Source organism: Homo sapiens, chromosome 5 (assembly GCF_000001405.40).
Source record: "Homo sapiens chromosome 5, GRCh38.p14 Primary Assembly".
NCBI classification, from domain to species: domain Eukaryota; kingdom Metazoa; phylum Chordata; class Mammalia; order Primates; family Hominidae; genus Homo; species Homo sapiens.
Window position 1 is genome coordinate 161,638,479 of NC_000005.10, and position 17,494 is coordinate 161,655,972.

At 34.7% G+C, this 17,494-nt stretch overlaps 1 annotated feature.

Annotated features, from left to right (window-relative positions):
- Window positions 13,177-13,962: an enhancer, noted in NCBI's record as "OCT4-NANOG hESC enhancer chr5:161078661-161079446 (GRCh37/hg19 assembly coordinates)". NCBI's record gives its function as "activates a minimal SCP1, AML or CMV promoter by ChIP-STARR-seq in primed H9 embryonic stem cells {active_cell/tissue: H9 hESC(primed)}" and the evidence as "EXISTENCE:reporter gene assay evidence [ECO:0000049][PMID:30033119]".

Below are 17,494 nucleotides of genomic sequence, written 5' to 3' on the forward strand. Positions count from 1 at the left end.
TGCATCTCTGCTTTCTGAATTTGAAACCACCAATTCAAAACACCATGACTCAATTTATTTTTCTTGTTAGGCTTTGCCCTAATAATTTATTTGTCATTATTTTATAAGACAGGGAGCTAATACTTGTTTTTATTATGTAGTGTAATTTAATAGAACAAACCCCGTAAGAGCTAAACAAGCACTGTAGAGTACAAAGTAAGGAATTACAGAATTGCCAATAGTTTTATTAGGCTTTCAAAGGCTCAAGAGTCATAGGTTGTAAGAAAGTAGTAGCAAAAAACCTTACCTTATATCTGACAGTCTATTACACTAGATAATATCTTTTTATACTACTATCAACATTTATATGTCAGGAAGTTACGAACATAATTGGATGGGATGGAGTTGGGAGGAGGCCAGCCAAGGAGGGTGCAACAAATGCCTTTAATATAAAAGGGAGCAAAAAGATTTCAGTACAGTGAGAGAAAACATGTTAATATACAAAAACAAGAAAGATCTGAATAGATAAGAACTCAAATACAGTGGGATATGGAATACAACTTATAATTCATGAATCAGGTAAGACGCTCCTATGCTAAGAATATAACAGCAATTCTCATCTGGCCTAGATTCAATGATCTTTCTCGCTAAGGGAGGACAAATTCATATCCATAATAGAAACTTGTTCCTGTCATATCGTATTGCTTGCATATAGATGCATAGATGTTACAAACAATAACGTTTGAACTTCAGTTATGCAAAATATTATGTCAAAGAACTCACTTCTATCAGTCTGAGTGCCTTCCAAGGATTGGAGGACACTTAAGTAATTGGAGAAATTTTCTTATGTTTTCCCATATCTAGATGTCCTATCTGCAAAATGCTTACAGATGATAAGTGAGAAGTGGGAAGAATTCACAATCCTTTTTTCTAGTAAGAAGAACTTTTTATAATAACTTTTAAAAAACATTTTCTGCACAATTTTCCTGGTGCCATTTTTTTCTATTTTCTTGTTAACTAAAAAGATAATAAAATGAACTTATAAAAATAAAATTGATGGTCAAAACCCCACAACTCAATTATCCAGTGATCAACAGTTTTGCTGTTTTAAATGATTTTATAAGTAGCTATAATTATATTGAAAAATACATGTATCATATAGAAAAACTTTATCATTACTTCCTCATTTGCTTTTAATCAACAAATTTTGTCAATAATATTTAATTACTTCTCACTAATTTATGTAGTCATTATTTACTTATCTTTGTTCTACATCAATGCAGAAAGAACATTCTTGATTTAAAAGGTTGATTAAAAATATAGCCATTGTTTAATGTTTTTCTCTCTCAAAGTTCTTTTAAATTCTTATTTTAATAGACCAGATAAATTTATTTATTTGACAATTCACTCTTCCTTAAAGCTGTTACTATAAATGAACATATATTTTTGTTGCTATGGAAAATTTAATTGTAAATGTATTCTCCTTTGCTAAAAAGAATCTCGATTTTACAAATGGAACTCAGATTAACTCATATTTTATTAACATTTTACAATTTTTCACAAAATTTTACAAGTTGCAATCTTGCAAAATTCAAATATTACCCACTACAAGCTCTCATTTTGAAGACAAAATAAAGAACAAAATGACAAAAGTTTATCTCAAGATCATTTTGGAACTTTAAGGTTAAGTGACTGCCCTACTGGATTTCAAAATTACGTGGGGCCTAGAAGCCCCTTTGTTTTGATCAATTTCTCCCAGTTGGAATGGGTGTATTTACCCATTGCCTGTATCCCTATTGCATCTAGAAAGTAACTAACTTGCTTTTGATTTTACAGGCTCATAGGTGGAAGGGACTTGCCTTGTCTCAGATGAGACTTCGGATTGGACTTTTGGGTTAATGCTGTAATGAGGTAAGAATTTGGGAGACTATTGGAAGGGCATGATTGTGTTTTGAAATGTGAGGACATGAGATTTGAGAGGGACCGGGGCAGAATAATATGGTTTGGCTGTGTCCCCACTCAAATCTCACCTTGACTTGTAATAATTTTCATGTATCAAGAGCAGGACTAGATGGCGATAATTGAATCATGGGGGCAGTTTCCTCCATACTGTTCTTGTGATAGTTAGTTCTCACGAGATCTGATGGTTTTATAAGGGGCTTCCCCCTTTGCTTGGAACTCATTCTCTCTCCTGCCACCCTGTGAAGAGGTGCCATTTGCCATGATTTTAAGTTTCCTGAGGCCTCCCAGCCGTCCAGAACTGAGTCAATTAAACCTCTTTTCTTTATAAATTACCCAGTCTCAGATATTTCTTCATAGCAGCATGAGAACGGATTAATACAGTAAATCCATTTCCCAATTCAGCTCTCTTCTCATATCATTGCACCATTTTGAGGCAAACTTTTCAACTGTTTATTTGCTTTTACTGCTTCTTCACATTTTATTCTTCTATCTCAATCAATCAGATTTTTGTCTCCACCACTACTTAGAAACTGCTTTTGTCAAAGTCAACAGTAACCCTCAACTTTACTGAAGTTATTTCTGAATATATCTTATTTATTCAGTGTTTAACTCAGTGGAACTTTTTATTTTTTCTGAAGAATAAGCATCTCAACTTAACATAGTCAACAATGACCTCTTAATTTCTTATCAAGTACCTCCTCTCCTCCCAACTGTACCTCCCTGTATCCCCTCTCTCAATTAATTATGTATCATTCACTTAATTATCCAGGTCAAATACCTAAAAGTTTGGTCCTATCCCTTTTTCTCCTTCTTGATAGTCAATTAATCAGCAAATTCTCTTAGCTTTTCCTTCAAAGTACAGCCTGAATATAACTACATCTCATCAACTCTTCTGCTTCTGACTTGGCCCAAGTAAGCAGCTCCCTCTTGTAAAATGTAACTGTCCTCTTAACCAGGCATCTTGCCTCATTCCTTGCTACACACCTTTCTTTGTATATTCCAAAGAAAATAGTTTTGGCATTTAAAACTGTGAAACAGATAATATGGTTTCCCTGAGTAAAACTGCAGTAGCTTCACACAATACATGTTTTAAATTGTACAATGTTCTACATAATAATTAATTCTAAACTCCTTTCCGTAACTCATGTGGCCCTCTCTAAAAGATGTTTCCTCTATGAACTTTCCTCCTACTCATGTATCACCATCACCCATCACTCTACAGACACGCAGTTTCGATTTGGTCATAGAACACCCTGGGCTTTTCCCTGTTTTGTTGACTTTGGGACTCTGTACTTGAACTTTCTTTGTTGGGGGTGACAGTTTGGAAGACGTAAGTAGGTGTAGTAGACATTATTTATTATATTATTCAAGCTTCTTCCCTTTCTTATTTCATGTAGTGTTGATGTATCTGTAAATCAAGGTAATATTTTTCTCCTGGCCAAGAGTAGGCACGTTACTTAAGCTTAGTCAATAAGCTTCTTTCTTGCAGAATTGTGTACTTTGATTCTGTAAGGATGGGCAGAATTCACACTTTATCAGTGCAAAGGCTGCAGTTCTGAAGTAAATATTTATTAGTTTTTAAGACAATTCCTGGATATAACCGTATTTTCATCCTTTCTGAGACTTGATTCTTCAGGAATGTATCTGTTTGCTAGGGCTAGCATAACAAAATACCACAGAATGAATGATTTAACAACAGAAATTTATTTCCTCACAGTTCTGGAAGCTAGAAGACTGAGTTCATGGTTTGGTTTCTTCTGAAGCCTTTCTCTTTGCCTTGGAGATGATTGTCTTCCTCCCGTGTTTACACATGATCTTCTTTCTGTGTATGACTGTGTCCTAATTTTCTCTTCTTATAAAGGCACCAATCATATTAGGTTGGGGTCCACCTACATGACCTTTTTTTAACCTTAGTTGCCTCTTTAAAAGGTCTGTCTCAAATACAGTCACATTATGAGGTACTTGGGGTTAGGACTCCAATATGAATTTTAGGAGGACACAGTGTAGTCCATACCAAGTAATCTCTTTGATTTTATGACTGACCCTATAACCTTCCCCTATACATACGTATTTTATTTTGCATATCCTGAGTCAGTCTCTGTTTCTTGCAAAGAACCCACTGACTAAAATGGACTACTTATTTTTACTCAGTATATGTGTATCTCAGATACAGGACTCGTTGAACTATTATGCCATTTTATGGCCTGTTTACAGAGAATATAAAAATACATGGCCATTCAGTTGTGTGAGAGAGACTTTATGAGGCCTGACTGAGCAGGGACACTTTTGCTCTCTTTATTTAGGGCCAACTGATTTCTTTGAAATTTTGTATTCATAGTTTTCTTGTTTGTTCGTTTTTCATTCTGGTTACAATGAGAATATTTTGCTTGATCAAGGGGAAGAAAAAGCCATTTAAGGAACTAGCATAAATAGCAGTCAAACTTTATTAAGCTTATACTAACCTAGAATCAGATTATTAAATTTGTACACACGTTTTACAATCAGACTTTATTTTGCTATGGAAAGTCTAAGTTACCTAATAAAATGCAAAGTGATTTGAGACACTATTTCAATCTTCATTAAAGCATCATCATTTATTTATTTAAGTTTAAAGAATAACATATTATACTTACCCTTCTTCAAAAAGGTGCATCGCATAATCAAATGTCCAGTCTTCTGTACACAAGAATGCTGGTAGTAGGTTTTTAAAAGACACTATATGGCTGGGCATGGTGGCTCACACCTGTAATCCCAGCACTTTGGGAGGCTGAGGCTGGCAGATTACAAGGTCAGGAGATGGAGAACATCTTGGCCAACATGGTGAAACCCCATCTCTACTAAAAAGACAAAAATTAGCTGGGTGTGGTGGTGCGTGTCTGTAATCCCAGCTACTCGGGAGGCTGAGGCAGGAGAATCACTTGAACCTGGAAGGCGGAGGTTGCAGTGAGCTGAGATCGCACCTTTGCACTCCAGCCTGGGCAACGAAAGCGAAACTCCTTCTCAAAAAACAAAAACAAAAAGAAAAACAAAAACAAAGACACTATATTGATACAATATTAAAAAGAGAAAAAAGTATAGTATATAAATTAAGTTTTTTTTATTTTTCTACCTTTGTTCACTAGTCTTTCAACCTGTATTTATCATTAGACAATATCAATTGATTGTCCCAATGACATCGGAAAACTGGATATGATATCCTATTCTTGCCTCAGAGGTACTCCTATTTCTATTTTTACATTTACTGACTTTTTCTGTGTTTACATATATTCAGTAACTAAGCCAAAGACTTGAAATCATACTTATTGATGTTTTTTTTAATTTGGACTTGTTTTATCACCAAGACTCATTTCTCTTGAGTTACCACCTCACTGTCAGTCCATAGGGATTAGGTAGAGATGATTGTATCATTGGGTTCTGAGGCATCCCACTGTACTTTATTGTAGTGGTAAGTGATGAACCAAATTAGCTTGTCCAGTTAGACTCAATCTTGGATTTTTTGAGGGGAGTGATTAGCAAGGAGTAGCCATATTTTCTAGAGATGCCACTGAGCTGGAAAAATATAAACCTGGAGTTGTTACTAGTCACCTTCTGTCATAAGGTAGAAGCCTTTCAAAAATAAAGCCAACCAGGGTAAACCAGTGACTAACTATAGAGAGATACACATATTCAATGACACTTTGGAACTCCTAGTTCCATTCATTTTTCATGTCAGCAGATATCTTTGAGCTTTTTAGTTCCCTGAACAAATAAACTTTTCTTTGTTGCTTCAGTTTCAGTGGAGTTCTGTCAATTACGGTGGAAAGAATCCAGAATATTGTAACTCAACAAACGAATAAGTATCATTTTAGCATTTTGGGAAGTCATTTTCCAAATGCACTAACACTCATGGTATTCCCTGCTTTCATGGACTCCACTTACTTCCTTTATGTTATTATTTAGATGCTTGTTATAACATTCTTTTTTTTTTTTTTTTTTTTTTTTTGAGACGGAGTCTCACTCTGTCTCCTAAGCTGGAGTGCAATGGCGTGATCTTGGCTCACTGCAACCTCTGCCTCCTGGGTTCAAGTGATTCTCCTGCCTCAGCCTCCTGAGTAGCTGGGATTACTGGCACCCACGGCCATGGCCAGCTAATTTTTGTATTTTTTATAGAGACGAGGTTTCACCATGTTTGCCAGGCTGGTGTCAAACTCCTGACCCTAGGTGATCCACCTGCCTTGGCCTCCCAAAGTGCTGGTTGTTATAACTTCTATTTCTCTTATCCTTTGGCCCAGTTTACAGAAGAAGTACACATTTGGATCTTGGCTGTTCTGTAATTGTTAAAATTGCTGAAGATCTCTGTGAGTGTGTGTGTAAAGCGTGGGGAGTTATGCTCCATTTCCTCGAAGTTAAATACTAACAAAAATTTCTTTGAATTCTTCTACGTGGTAGATATGTCCATTTCCCCCATTTATTTATTTCTTTAAGGTTTTTTATATTAGCATAGACTCATAGATATTTATTTTATTCTTCATGTTATATTCCAATACTAAATTATTTATTTCGTTTCTCAAGGAGCTCTTGATTTTTTTTTTTTTATTGCGAATAGTAGGAGCAAACAAGATCTGGGCAGTAGGTGTGCTCACTGCTACTGGGGAATCATGCTTCTAGGCCCTCTCAGATGACAGAGGAAGAAAACATATGTATATATACTATACCACGTATAAACTCTTACTATAAATATTTTTATATTTATCCATCCATATGTATATTCAGGTAGACATGAGATAATACTGATGTATCCTACTCTAAACCATTACCATATGAATTATCCTAGATTTCTTTCCTTCATTGTCTGTAACCTCCCAGTTCAACAGTGAGAATCCTGGCTTCCACAATTCACCACTGATTTACTTAATTATTTAATTGCTTTTACATGGATACTCATTTCCAAATTGTTAATCACAGTCTTGTGGGGAAAATACTTTATGAGCTAGAGTATAGTGTACGTATACAGTTCCTTTTGCTTTAGTCTTGCAGATTCCACTTATTTCCAAAGCTGCTTAGATCAGCAATATTTTCCCCAGCCCCTTCAGTGAGGTGGTTTCAGATATTTGTAATACAATTTGATTTTTTCATTCTTAATTTTATTTCTAGTTCTGCCAAATTCCTAAATAATTTAACTTATTTAATTTGTGTATGCTAAAGTTCACCATTTCTTTTTCAATTTTTAAATTTAAAAAAATGTTTTATTTATGTTTTTTTAAATTCAATAGTTTTTGGGGTACATGCATTTTTTTAATACATGGATAGGTTCTTTAGTGGTGATTTCTAAGATTTTGGTGTACCCGCCACCCAGGCAGTGTACACTGTAACCGTTGTGTAGTCTTTTATCCCTTGCCTGCTTCCCACCATTCTGTCCAAGTCCCCAAAGTCCATGCCTTTATGTTCTCATAGTTTAGCTCCTACTTATAAGTGAGAACATCTGATGATTGGTTTTCCATTCCTGAGTTATTTCACTTAGAATAACGGTCTCCAGCCAGGCGTGGTGGCTCATGCCTATAATCTCAGCACTTTGGGAGGCCTAGGTGGGCGGACCACTTGAGGTCCAGAGTTCCAGACCAGCCTGACCAACATGGAGAAACCCCATCTCTACTAAAAATATGCAAATATATATATATATATAGCTGGGCGTGATGGTGCATGCCTGTAATTCCAGCTACTTGGGAGGCTGAGGCAGGAGAATCACTTGAACCTGGGAGGTGGGAGTTGTGGTGAGCCAAGATCATGCCATTGCACTCCAGCCTGGGCAACAAGAGTGAAATTCTGTCTCAAAATAATAATAATAATAATAATAATAATAATAATAATAATAATAATACTCTCTAACTCCATCCAGGTTGTAGCGAATGCCATTATGTCATTCCTTTTTATGGCTGAGTAGTATTTCATGGTATGTAGGTGTGTGTATGTATGTGTATATATATATATATATATATATATATATACACACACACACATACACACACACACAAATGTATATACACACATATATACACATTTTTATATATACATGTATATATGTATATATACACATCAACCAACAAGTGGAACATATATACATATATTTTTTATATACAGATATATAAAATGTATATATATACAGATATATATATATAAAATGTGTGTGTGTGTATATATATATATATACATACACACATATATATTCCACTCATTGGTTGATGAGCATTTAGGTTGGTTCTATATTTTTGCAATTGCGAATTGTGCTGCTATAAACCTGAGTGTGCAAGTTTCTTTTTCATATAATGACTTATTTTCCTCTGGGTAGATACCCAGTAGTAGGATTGCTGGATTAAGTTGCAGTTCTACTTTTAGTTATTTAAGGAATTTCCATACCGTTTTCCAGAGCGGTTGTACTACTTTACATTCCTACCAGTAATGTAAAAGTGTACCCTTTTCACTACATCCATGCCAACATCTATTTTTTTTAATTTTTTAACTATGATCATTCTTGCAGGAGTAAGATGTTATATCATTGTGGTTTTAATTTTCATCTCCCGGATAATTAGTAATGTTGAGCATATTTTCATATGTCTTTGGACATTCATATCTTTTCCTTTGAGAATTGTCTATTCATGTTATTTGTCCACTTTTTGATGGGATTATTTGCCTTTTTCTTGCTGATTGTTTGAGTTCCTCGTAGATTCTGTATATTATTCCTTTGTTGGATGCACAGTTTGTGAATATTTTCTCCCACTCTGTGGGTTGTCTGTTTAATCTGCTGATTATTTCTTTTGCTCTACAGATGCTGTTTAGTTTCTATTATAAATTTCTTTAGGTTTGATAAACACATAGTGTCATGATCTACGATTACAGCATCATACAAAATCTTTTCCCATCCTACAGTAATCCCCTATACTTTACTTCCTCAATCCATATAACCTATTTTTTGAAAGGCATTGTTTTCTTTTTTTAAATAGCTTTTTAAATTTACAGTAGTTTTACATTGACAAAAAATATGCAAAGATAGTATAGAGTCCCCATATATCCCAAGCCAGTTTATTCTTGGTGGAGATACTTTCGTTTTTACCTAGATAGTTTTGAGGGACAGTGGCCAGGTATTTTTGTAGGATTTCCCTTATTGAGATCTATCTGCTGTTTTTCTCATGATTAGACTGAGATGATAGATTTAGGGGAAGCAGATCACAGAGTTAATGTGCCATTCTTGTCACGTTATATCAAAGTTTCCAAAAAACCCTGGCAATCACTGAATTGTTTACCATCTCTATAGTTATACTTCTTACAGAATATTTTATGACTGAAATCATACAGTATGTAGCCTTTTTATAGACTTTTAAGAAAAGAGCAGTTTTAGGTTCACAGAAAAATTAAGAGGAAGGTACAGGAATTTCCCACATACTTTTTGCTCAACACATGCACAACCTCCTACACCATCAACATACCCCTTCAGAGTGATTCATTTGTTACAAATGATGAAGCTCCACTGACATATCATCAACACCCAAAGCCTCTGGTTTAGGGTTCACTCTTGGTGTTGTAAATTCCATGGTTTTGGATAAGTGTGAGTTGATATGTACTCATTATGTTAGTATACAGGGTAGTTTCACTGCTCTCAATTTTTTCCATGCTCTGCCAATACATCCCTTCCTTCCCATCCCAACTGCTGACAACCACTAATCACTTACTGTCTCTGTAGTTTTGCTTTTTCTAGAATGTCAAATAGTTGGAATCATGCAGTGTTTAGCGTTTTTATATTGGCTTATTTTACTGAGTAGTTTTACCCAAGGTTCTTCTATGCCTTTTCAGGACCCCATGGCTTGTTTTTTTTGTTTTTTTTTTTAATCACTGAATAATATTTCATTGTCTGGATGTACCACAGTTTATCCATTAACCTTCTGATGGACATCTTGGCTGCTTCTAAGTATTCGTGTTTATAAATAAAGTCATATAAACATCTTTGTGCAAGTTTTTGTGTACACATATATTTTCAGTTCCTTTGGGCAAATATCAAGGAGCATGATGGCTGGATCATATGGAAAGAATATGTTTAGTTTTGTAAGAAGCTGCAAAGCTGTCTTCCAAAGTGGCTGTAGCATTTTTCATTCCCACCTGCAGTGAATGAGTTATTGTTGCTCCACATTTTCTCCAGAATTTGGTTTTGTTCGTGTTCCAAATTTTGACTATTTTAGTAGATGTGTAGAGATGTCTCATTGTTTTAATATGTATTTTCCAGATAATGTATAATGGGGTGTGATATGGTTAGGCTCTGTGTCCCCACCCATTTCTCATCTTGAATTGTAATCCCCATAATCCCCAGATGTCGAGGGCAGGACCTGGTGGGAGGTGATTTGATCATGGGGTGGTTCCCCCATGCTGTTTTCCTAATAGTGAGTGAGTTCTCACGAGATCTGATGCTTTTATACGTGTTTGACAGTTCCTCGTATGCATGCATTCTCTCTTCCCTGCCACCGTGTAAGACATGCCTCTTCCCCTTCTGCCATGATTGTGTAAGTTTTCCGAGGCTTTTCAAGCCATGCAGAACTGTGAGTCAATTAGACCTCTTTCTTTTATAAATTACTCAGTCTTGAATATTTCTTTATAGCAACATGAGAACAGACTAATACAGGGGGCATCTTTTCATATGTTTATATGCATCTGTGTAACTTTTTAAAAGAGGCGTCTATTCAGGTGCTCGGCCCATTTTTAAATAGAGTTGTTTGCTTTCTCATTGTTAAGTTATATTACTTCTCTGTGTATTTTGGATAACAGTCCTTATCAAATGTGTCTTTCCAAATATTTTCTCCCAATCAATGGCTTGTCTTATTCTCTTGATATTGTCTTTCACATGGCAGATTTTTTTTAATGAAGTCCAACTTATTCATTTTTAAAAAATAGATCATGCCCTTGGCATTACATCTAAAATGTCATTTCAATACCCAAGGTCATGTAGGTTTTCTCCTATGTAATTTTCAGGGAATTTCATAGTTTTACAATTGACATTTAGCTCTATTATCCAGTCTCATAATGCAGTCTTTTCAGACTGGCTTCTTTCACTGAGCAATGTGCACTTAAAATTAATTAATATTTTCAGGGTCTTGATTCCCTTTAGTTCCTGAATAGTGTTCTATTATATGCATGTACTACAGCTTATTAGTATGTTCACTTTTTTTGTTATTTATGAAACATTTTGGCTACCATAAGCACTTACATGCAAATTTTTGTATAGACACAACTTTTCAGATCAGTTGGGTTGTATGTTTTGCTGTGTGAGAAACTGCCAACTGTCTTCTAAAGTTTCTCCTCCACTTTGCATTCTTAGTAGCAGTGAATGAGAATTCTTGTTACTCCACATCCTTGCCAGCAATTAATATCAGTTTTTTTTGGACTTTAGACATTCCATTATGTGTGTAGTAATTTCTCACTGTTGTTTTAATTTGCACTTCCCTAATGATGAATTATGCTGTACTTTTTATCATATGCTTATTTAGCATTCACGTATATTGTTTGATATTCAAATCTTTTGTTTATTTTTTAATTAAGTTGTTAGTTTTACAGGACTTTGCACATTTTGGATGCAATTCTTTGATGAAATACATGTTTTGCAAATATTTTTCCCAGTCTGAGTCTTGTCTTTCCGTTCTCTTAATGGTATCTTTCTCAGAGCACACATTTATAACCTTAAGGAAATAAAGAATATCCAGGAATGATTTACATGTTAGTAATTTATTTACTAACAAAAACATTATTGGAATGATGATGAGAGCCTGATCCCATTTTCTTGCTGTCCCTGAAGCCTAGCTTGCCCTCATCAGGAAACAGTCTCAGTGAACCAATGTCATCTTTAAGAAGCTTTATTTTCACACTTAGACATGTGATTCATCTGGAATTGATTCTGTGTATGGTTGGAGGTACAGACCAAGGTTTCTCATGTAAATTTCGTGTTTATTTAACATTTATCCAAAGGTCATCATTTCTGCACTGCAGTGGTACCTTAATGATAGATAATTCATTTGTCTGGAGTCATCGTGGATCTAAATGTGAATTCACTATTCTGTTTCTGGTATAATTATTTGTATATCCCTATGCACGTACACATCTTTTAAATTACAATAGATATTTAAATATGTTTGAATGTCTAGTAATATGAGCTTCATTATTTAGGGTCTTTTGCTTGCATTTCTACATAAATTTTAGAATTAGCTTTTTTGCTTCCATAAAAGAAAATGCTTTGCTTTTGAGTTATAATGGGTAAATCTATAGATTAATTGAGAGATAAGACCTTTATCATATTGAATTTTGCAATCCATAAACTTGATATAGTTCTCCATTTGTTTATCTTCTGTAATTCTTACATAAATGCTTTAAATCTGTGTAGATCTCTTTCACATATTTTTACATTTATTTCTATAGATTTAATTTTGATACTTTTATAAATGATAGCTTTGAAAATTTTCACTATTATCAATTTGTTACAGTAGATAGAAATATAGAAAATATAGAAAATATAGAAATACAGTTGATTTTATATATTAACTTGTATTCAGAAACCTTCCTAAGATAATTTATTGATTTTTAGAGTTTATCAGTGAATCCTTTTGTATTTCTCAATATAAATATTTATGTCATATGGGAATGATAACAATTTTCTTAGTTCTTTTACTTTTTGGTAGAGGGTAGTGGTGAGGCTTATCCACTAGCTTTGACTTTCTAATATACCATTGAATAGGGTTCATGTCAGTGGATATCATTGCTCATTTTTTATCTCAGGAATAAGTTTTTAATATTTCACAGCTAAATAAAATACAATATTTCATGGAAATGTTATAAGCTTAAGAAAGTTTAATTTCTTCCCCTAGGTATTTGGGAAGGCATTTAAAATTATAAATGGGTAATTATCATTATCAGATGTCTTTTTTGTGTATATATTAAATGATATTGTGATTTTCCTATTTTACTTCATTAATATGGTGACTGACATTGATTATTTTATGTTTGGAGAGCCTTGCATTGCTGGAATAAATACCAACTCATCGTAATGTACTATCGTTTTTACATATTGCTAACATTTATTTGCCAATGCTTTGTTTAGTATTTCTGCACTTAAATTCATGAGACATTTGTCCTCTGATCTTACTAACTTGCAATATTTTGGTCAAGTTGTGAAATCAATGCTTATCTCATAAAAGGCATTATCGGGGGACCTGTCCCGATAATCACATAGGTTCTTTTCTATTTTTCCTAAGTGTCAGCCGGCTTGAGAAATAAAAGGACAGAGTACAAAAGAGAGAAATTTTAAAGCTGGGCGTCTGGGGGAGACATCACATGTTGGTAGGATCCGTGATGCCCCACAAGCCACAAAATCCAGCAAGTTTTTATTAGGGATTTTCAAAAGGGGAGGGAGTGTGCAAATAGGTGTGGGTGACAGACATCAAGTACTTAACAGGATAATAGAATATCACAAGGCAAGTGGAGGCAGGGTGAGATCACAGGACCACAGGACCGAGGCGAAATTAAAATTGCTGATGAGGTTTCGGGCTCCATTGTCATTGATAACATCTTATCAGGAGACAGCGTTTTGAGATCAACGGGTCTGACCAAAATTTATTAGGTGGGAATTTCCTCTCCCTAACAAGCCTGGGAGCACTATGGGAGACTGGGGTCTATTTCACCCCTGCAGCCTCAACCATAAGAAACAGGCCACGCCCAAGGGGGCTGTTTATAAGCCCATACCTCCAGGCGCTTATTCTCTTTCTCAAGGACGTTCCATGCTGAGAAAAAGAATTCAGTGACATTTCTCCCATTTGCTTTTGAAAGAAGAGAAATATGGCTCTGTTCTGCCTGGCTCAGAGTTTAAGGTTCTCTCTCTTATTCTCTGAACAATTGCTGTTATCCTATTCTTTTTTCAGGGTGCTCAGATTTCATATTGCTCAAACACACATGCTATACAATTTTTGCAGTTAACGCAATTATCACATGGTCCTGAAGCAACATACATCCTCCTCAGCTGACAGGATTAAGAGATTAAAGTAAAGACAGGCATAGGAAAGCACAAGGGTATTGATTGGGGAAGTGATAAGTGTCCATGAAATCTTTACAATTTATGTTTAGAGACTGCAGTAAAGACAGGCATAAGAAATTACCAAAGTATTAATTTGGGGAACTAATAAATGTCCATAAAATCTTCACAATCCATGTTCTTCTGCCATGGCTTCAGCCAGTCCCTCTGTTTGGGGTCCCTGACTTCCTGCAACAAGGCATAATCACTTTTATAAAAATGGTTGCAGCAGTGGCTTTATTTTTCATTCTTTCCAAATCCACAAATAAAAATATGTAGAACAACTCTAAGGAAAAAAAACAAAATCCTTGGACAACACTGACAATAAAACTAGATGAAAAATTATTCCTATGGATGCTAAAATAAAAGTGGGTACACATACGCCATCAAAAGGCCTGAATAGTATTGGCATTAGTGCTGGAGAAATAAGAAAAACAAAATTGGAGTGGCATCTGACAATGACATGAGAAAAGGATAATACCCAAATAGCCAATTGGTATTCATTGTAGCATAAGGAGTTTGGTTTTAAGGCAGCAGCTAAAATGGGCAGGGGTTTTGTTCACTCTAATAGTGAGTGAGTGCAAAGGGTTCCCAGAAAGGGATAAATGAACTTCCCCAGAGGCAGTCTTGCTCTCACTGTTTCTCAAATTGATTCATCGAATTTTCCTTCAAAATACAGCCTGTGAAGATAAACTGCTGATGGTGGAATCAAAATTGATCAGGATAGGGACAAGAATGAAGAAGGGAAGAGAGTCTACAGACCAAAGATTCTGAGGGAAGAGCCAGAAAATCTCAAAAAGCAAGCATCTATAGTGTTAAACTTTACACAAAAACAATAGAAGAGTAAGTTCTGTGAGGCTGGAAATTGTTTAGTGAACCACACTTCAATTCTAAGAGTTTAAGGATACTAATTTTACATGAGGAAGAGCAACAGAAAAATATCATGATAAGACCCAGTACAAAGATGTAGAATAAGGAGCAGAATAACCTCCCTGAAGACAACAAAAGCACATCAGAAGGCTAGGTGCACAACCAAAATCAGAAGTGTAACTCATTTTAAAATGAGTTAACATATACTTGGAAAATTATGAAAAACATGAAGGAATAATGCAAATCAGAATTAGAAAAAAATCAGAAATGTGATGAAGGAATTCAGGAGAGTTTTGATGTCTTATCAATGGCTTTTAGAAATGTTACTATGATATGCCAGGAAATTATTTGTTTTGTTTGTTTTGTATCTGTACTAGGTATTTATAAGTTTTCATACATCTGTACATTGATGTTTCCCCTTTTTTGGAAAAAATTGTAGCAGATATTTCTTCAAATATTGCTTCTATCTAAGTATCTTTCTTTCTCCTCCCCTTCTGAGACTTCAACTATACATACCTCAGATTTTTCACTATGCCACACACACACATATTGATAGGCAAATATGATGTCCATTTCTGCATTTTAAAATATGTGGGTATTTTCTACCAATTTACTCTCCAGGTTACTTATTCTTTCCCTGACATGTCAAATCTACTATTAAATCTGTGCTTTCAATTCTAAATTTAAATTTAAATATTTAGTTCTTGGCAGTGACTCTTAAATATTAAGGTTATTTGGTGAAAATTTCTAATTTTTATAATATTTATGAAAATTATTCATCATACGTTTAATAATATTTCTTTCTGGTGACTAACATATCTGAATCAGTATGGGTCTACTTTTATTATTTATTTGTTCTCTTGAATTTTGGTCATTTGCTCCCTGATGTACATCAGTGCAAAAATCTTCAATAAATTACTGACAAACCAAAAAGCTTATCCACCATGATCAAGTTGGCTTCATCCCCAGGATGCAAGGCTGGTTCAACATCAGCAAATGAATAAATGTAATTCATCACATAAACAGAACTAAAGACAAAAACCATATGATTATCTCAATAGATGTATAAAAGTCCTTTGATAATATTCAACATCCTTTCATGTTAAAAACTCTCAATAAACTAGGTAATGAATGAATATATCTCAAAATAATAAGAGATATTTATGACAGACTCAAAGTCAATATAATACTGAATGGGCAAAAGCTGAAAGCATTCCCCTTGAAAACTGGAACAAAACAAGGATGCCCCTCTCTCACAACTTCTATTCAACATAGTATTGGAAGTTCTGGACAGGGCAATCAGGCAAGATAAAGAAATAAAGTGTATTCAAATAGGAAGAGAGGAAGTCAAATTGTCTTTGTTTGCAGATTACATGATCCTATATCTAGAAAACTCCATCGTCTCAGTCCAAAAGCTCCTTAAGTTTATAAGTAACTTCAGGAAACTCTCAGGACACAAAATTGTTGTGCAAAAATCATAAGCATTCCTATACACCAACAACAGACAAGCAGAGAGCCAAATCATGAATGAACTCCCATTCACAATTGCTACAAAGAGAATAAAATACGTAGGAATTAAGCTAACAAGGAAAGTGAAGGGCCTCTTCAAGGAGAACTACAAACCACTGCTCAAGAAAATTAGAGAGGACACAAACAAATGAAAAAGCACACTGTGCTCATGGATAGGAAAAATCAATGTCATGAAAATGGCCATACTGCCCAAAGTAATTTATAGATTCAATGCTATTCCCATTAAACTATCATTGACGTTTTTCACATAATTAGAAAATACTATTTTAAAATTCATGTGGAACAAAAAAAGAGCTTGTATAGCGAAGACACTTCTAAGCAAAAATAACAACACTAGAGGTATCATGCTACCTGACTTCAAACTGTACACTACAAGGCTACAGTAACCAAAAGAGGATGGTACTGGTACAAAAGCAGACACATAGACCAAGGGATCATATAGAGAACTCAGCTATAAGACCTCACATCTACAACCATCTGATCTTCAACAAACCTGACAAAAAGAAGCAATGAGGAAAGGATTCCTTATTTAATAAATGATACTGGGAGAACTGGCTAGCCATATGCAGAAAATTGAATCTGGACCCCTTTCTTACATCTTATAAAAATTAACTCAAGATGAATTAAATAATTTAATGTAAAACCCAAAACTATAAAAACCCTAGAAGAAAATCTAGGTAATACCATTCAGGACATAGGCACAGGCAAAGATTTCATGACAAAATTGCCCAAAGCAATTGCAACAAAATCAAAAATTGATAAATGGTAGTTAATTAAACTAAAGAGCTTCTGCACAGCAAAAGAAAATTTCATCAGAGCAAACAGACAACCTCCTGAGTGGGGGAACATTTTTGCAATCTATCCATCTGACAAACGTCTAATACCCAGGGTCTACAAGGAACTTTAACAAATTAACAACAACAAATAGAAACTGTTAAAAAGTGGGCAAAAGACATGAACAGACACTCCTCAAAAGAACACATTCATGTGGGCAACAAACATATGAAAAAAAGTTCAATATCACTGATCATAGAGAAATGCAAATCAATGTCACAATGAGATACCATCTCACACCAGTCA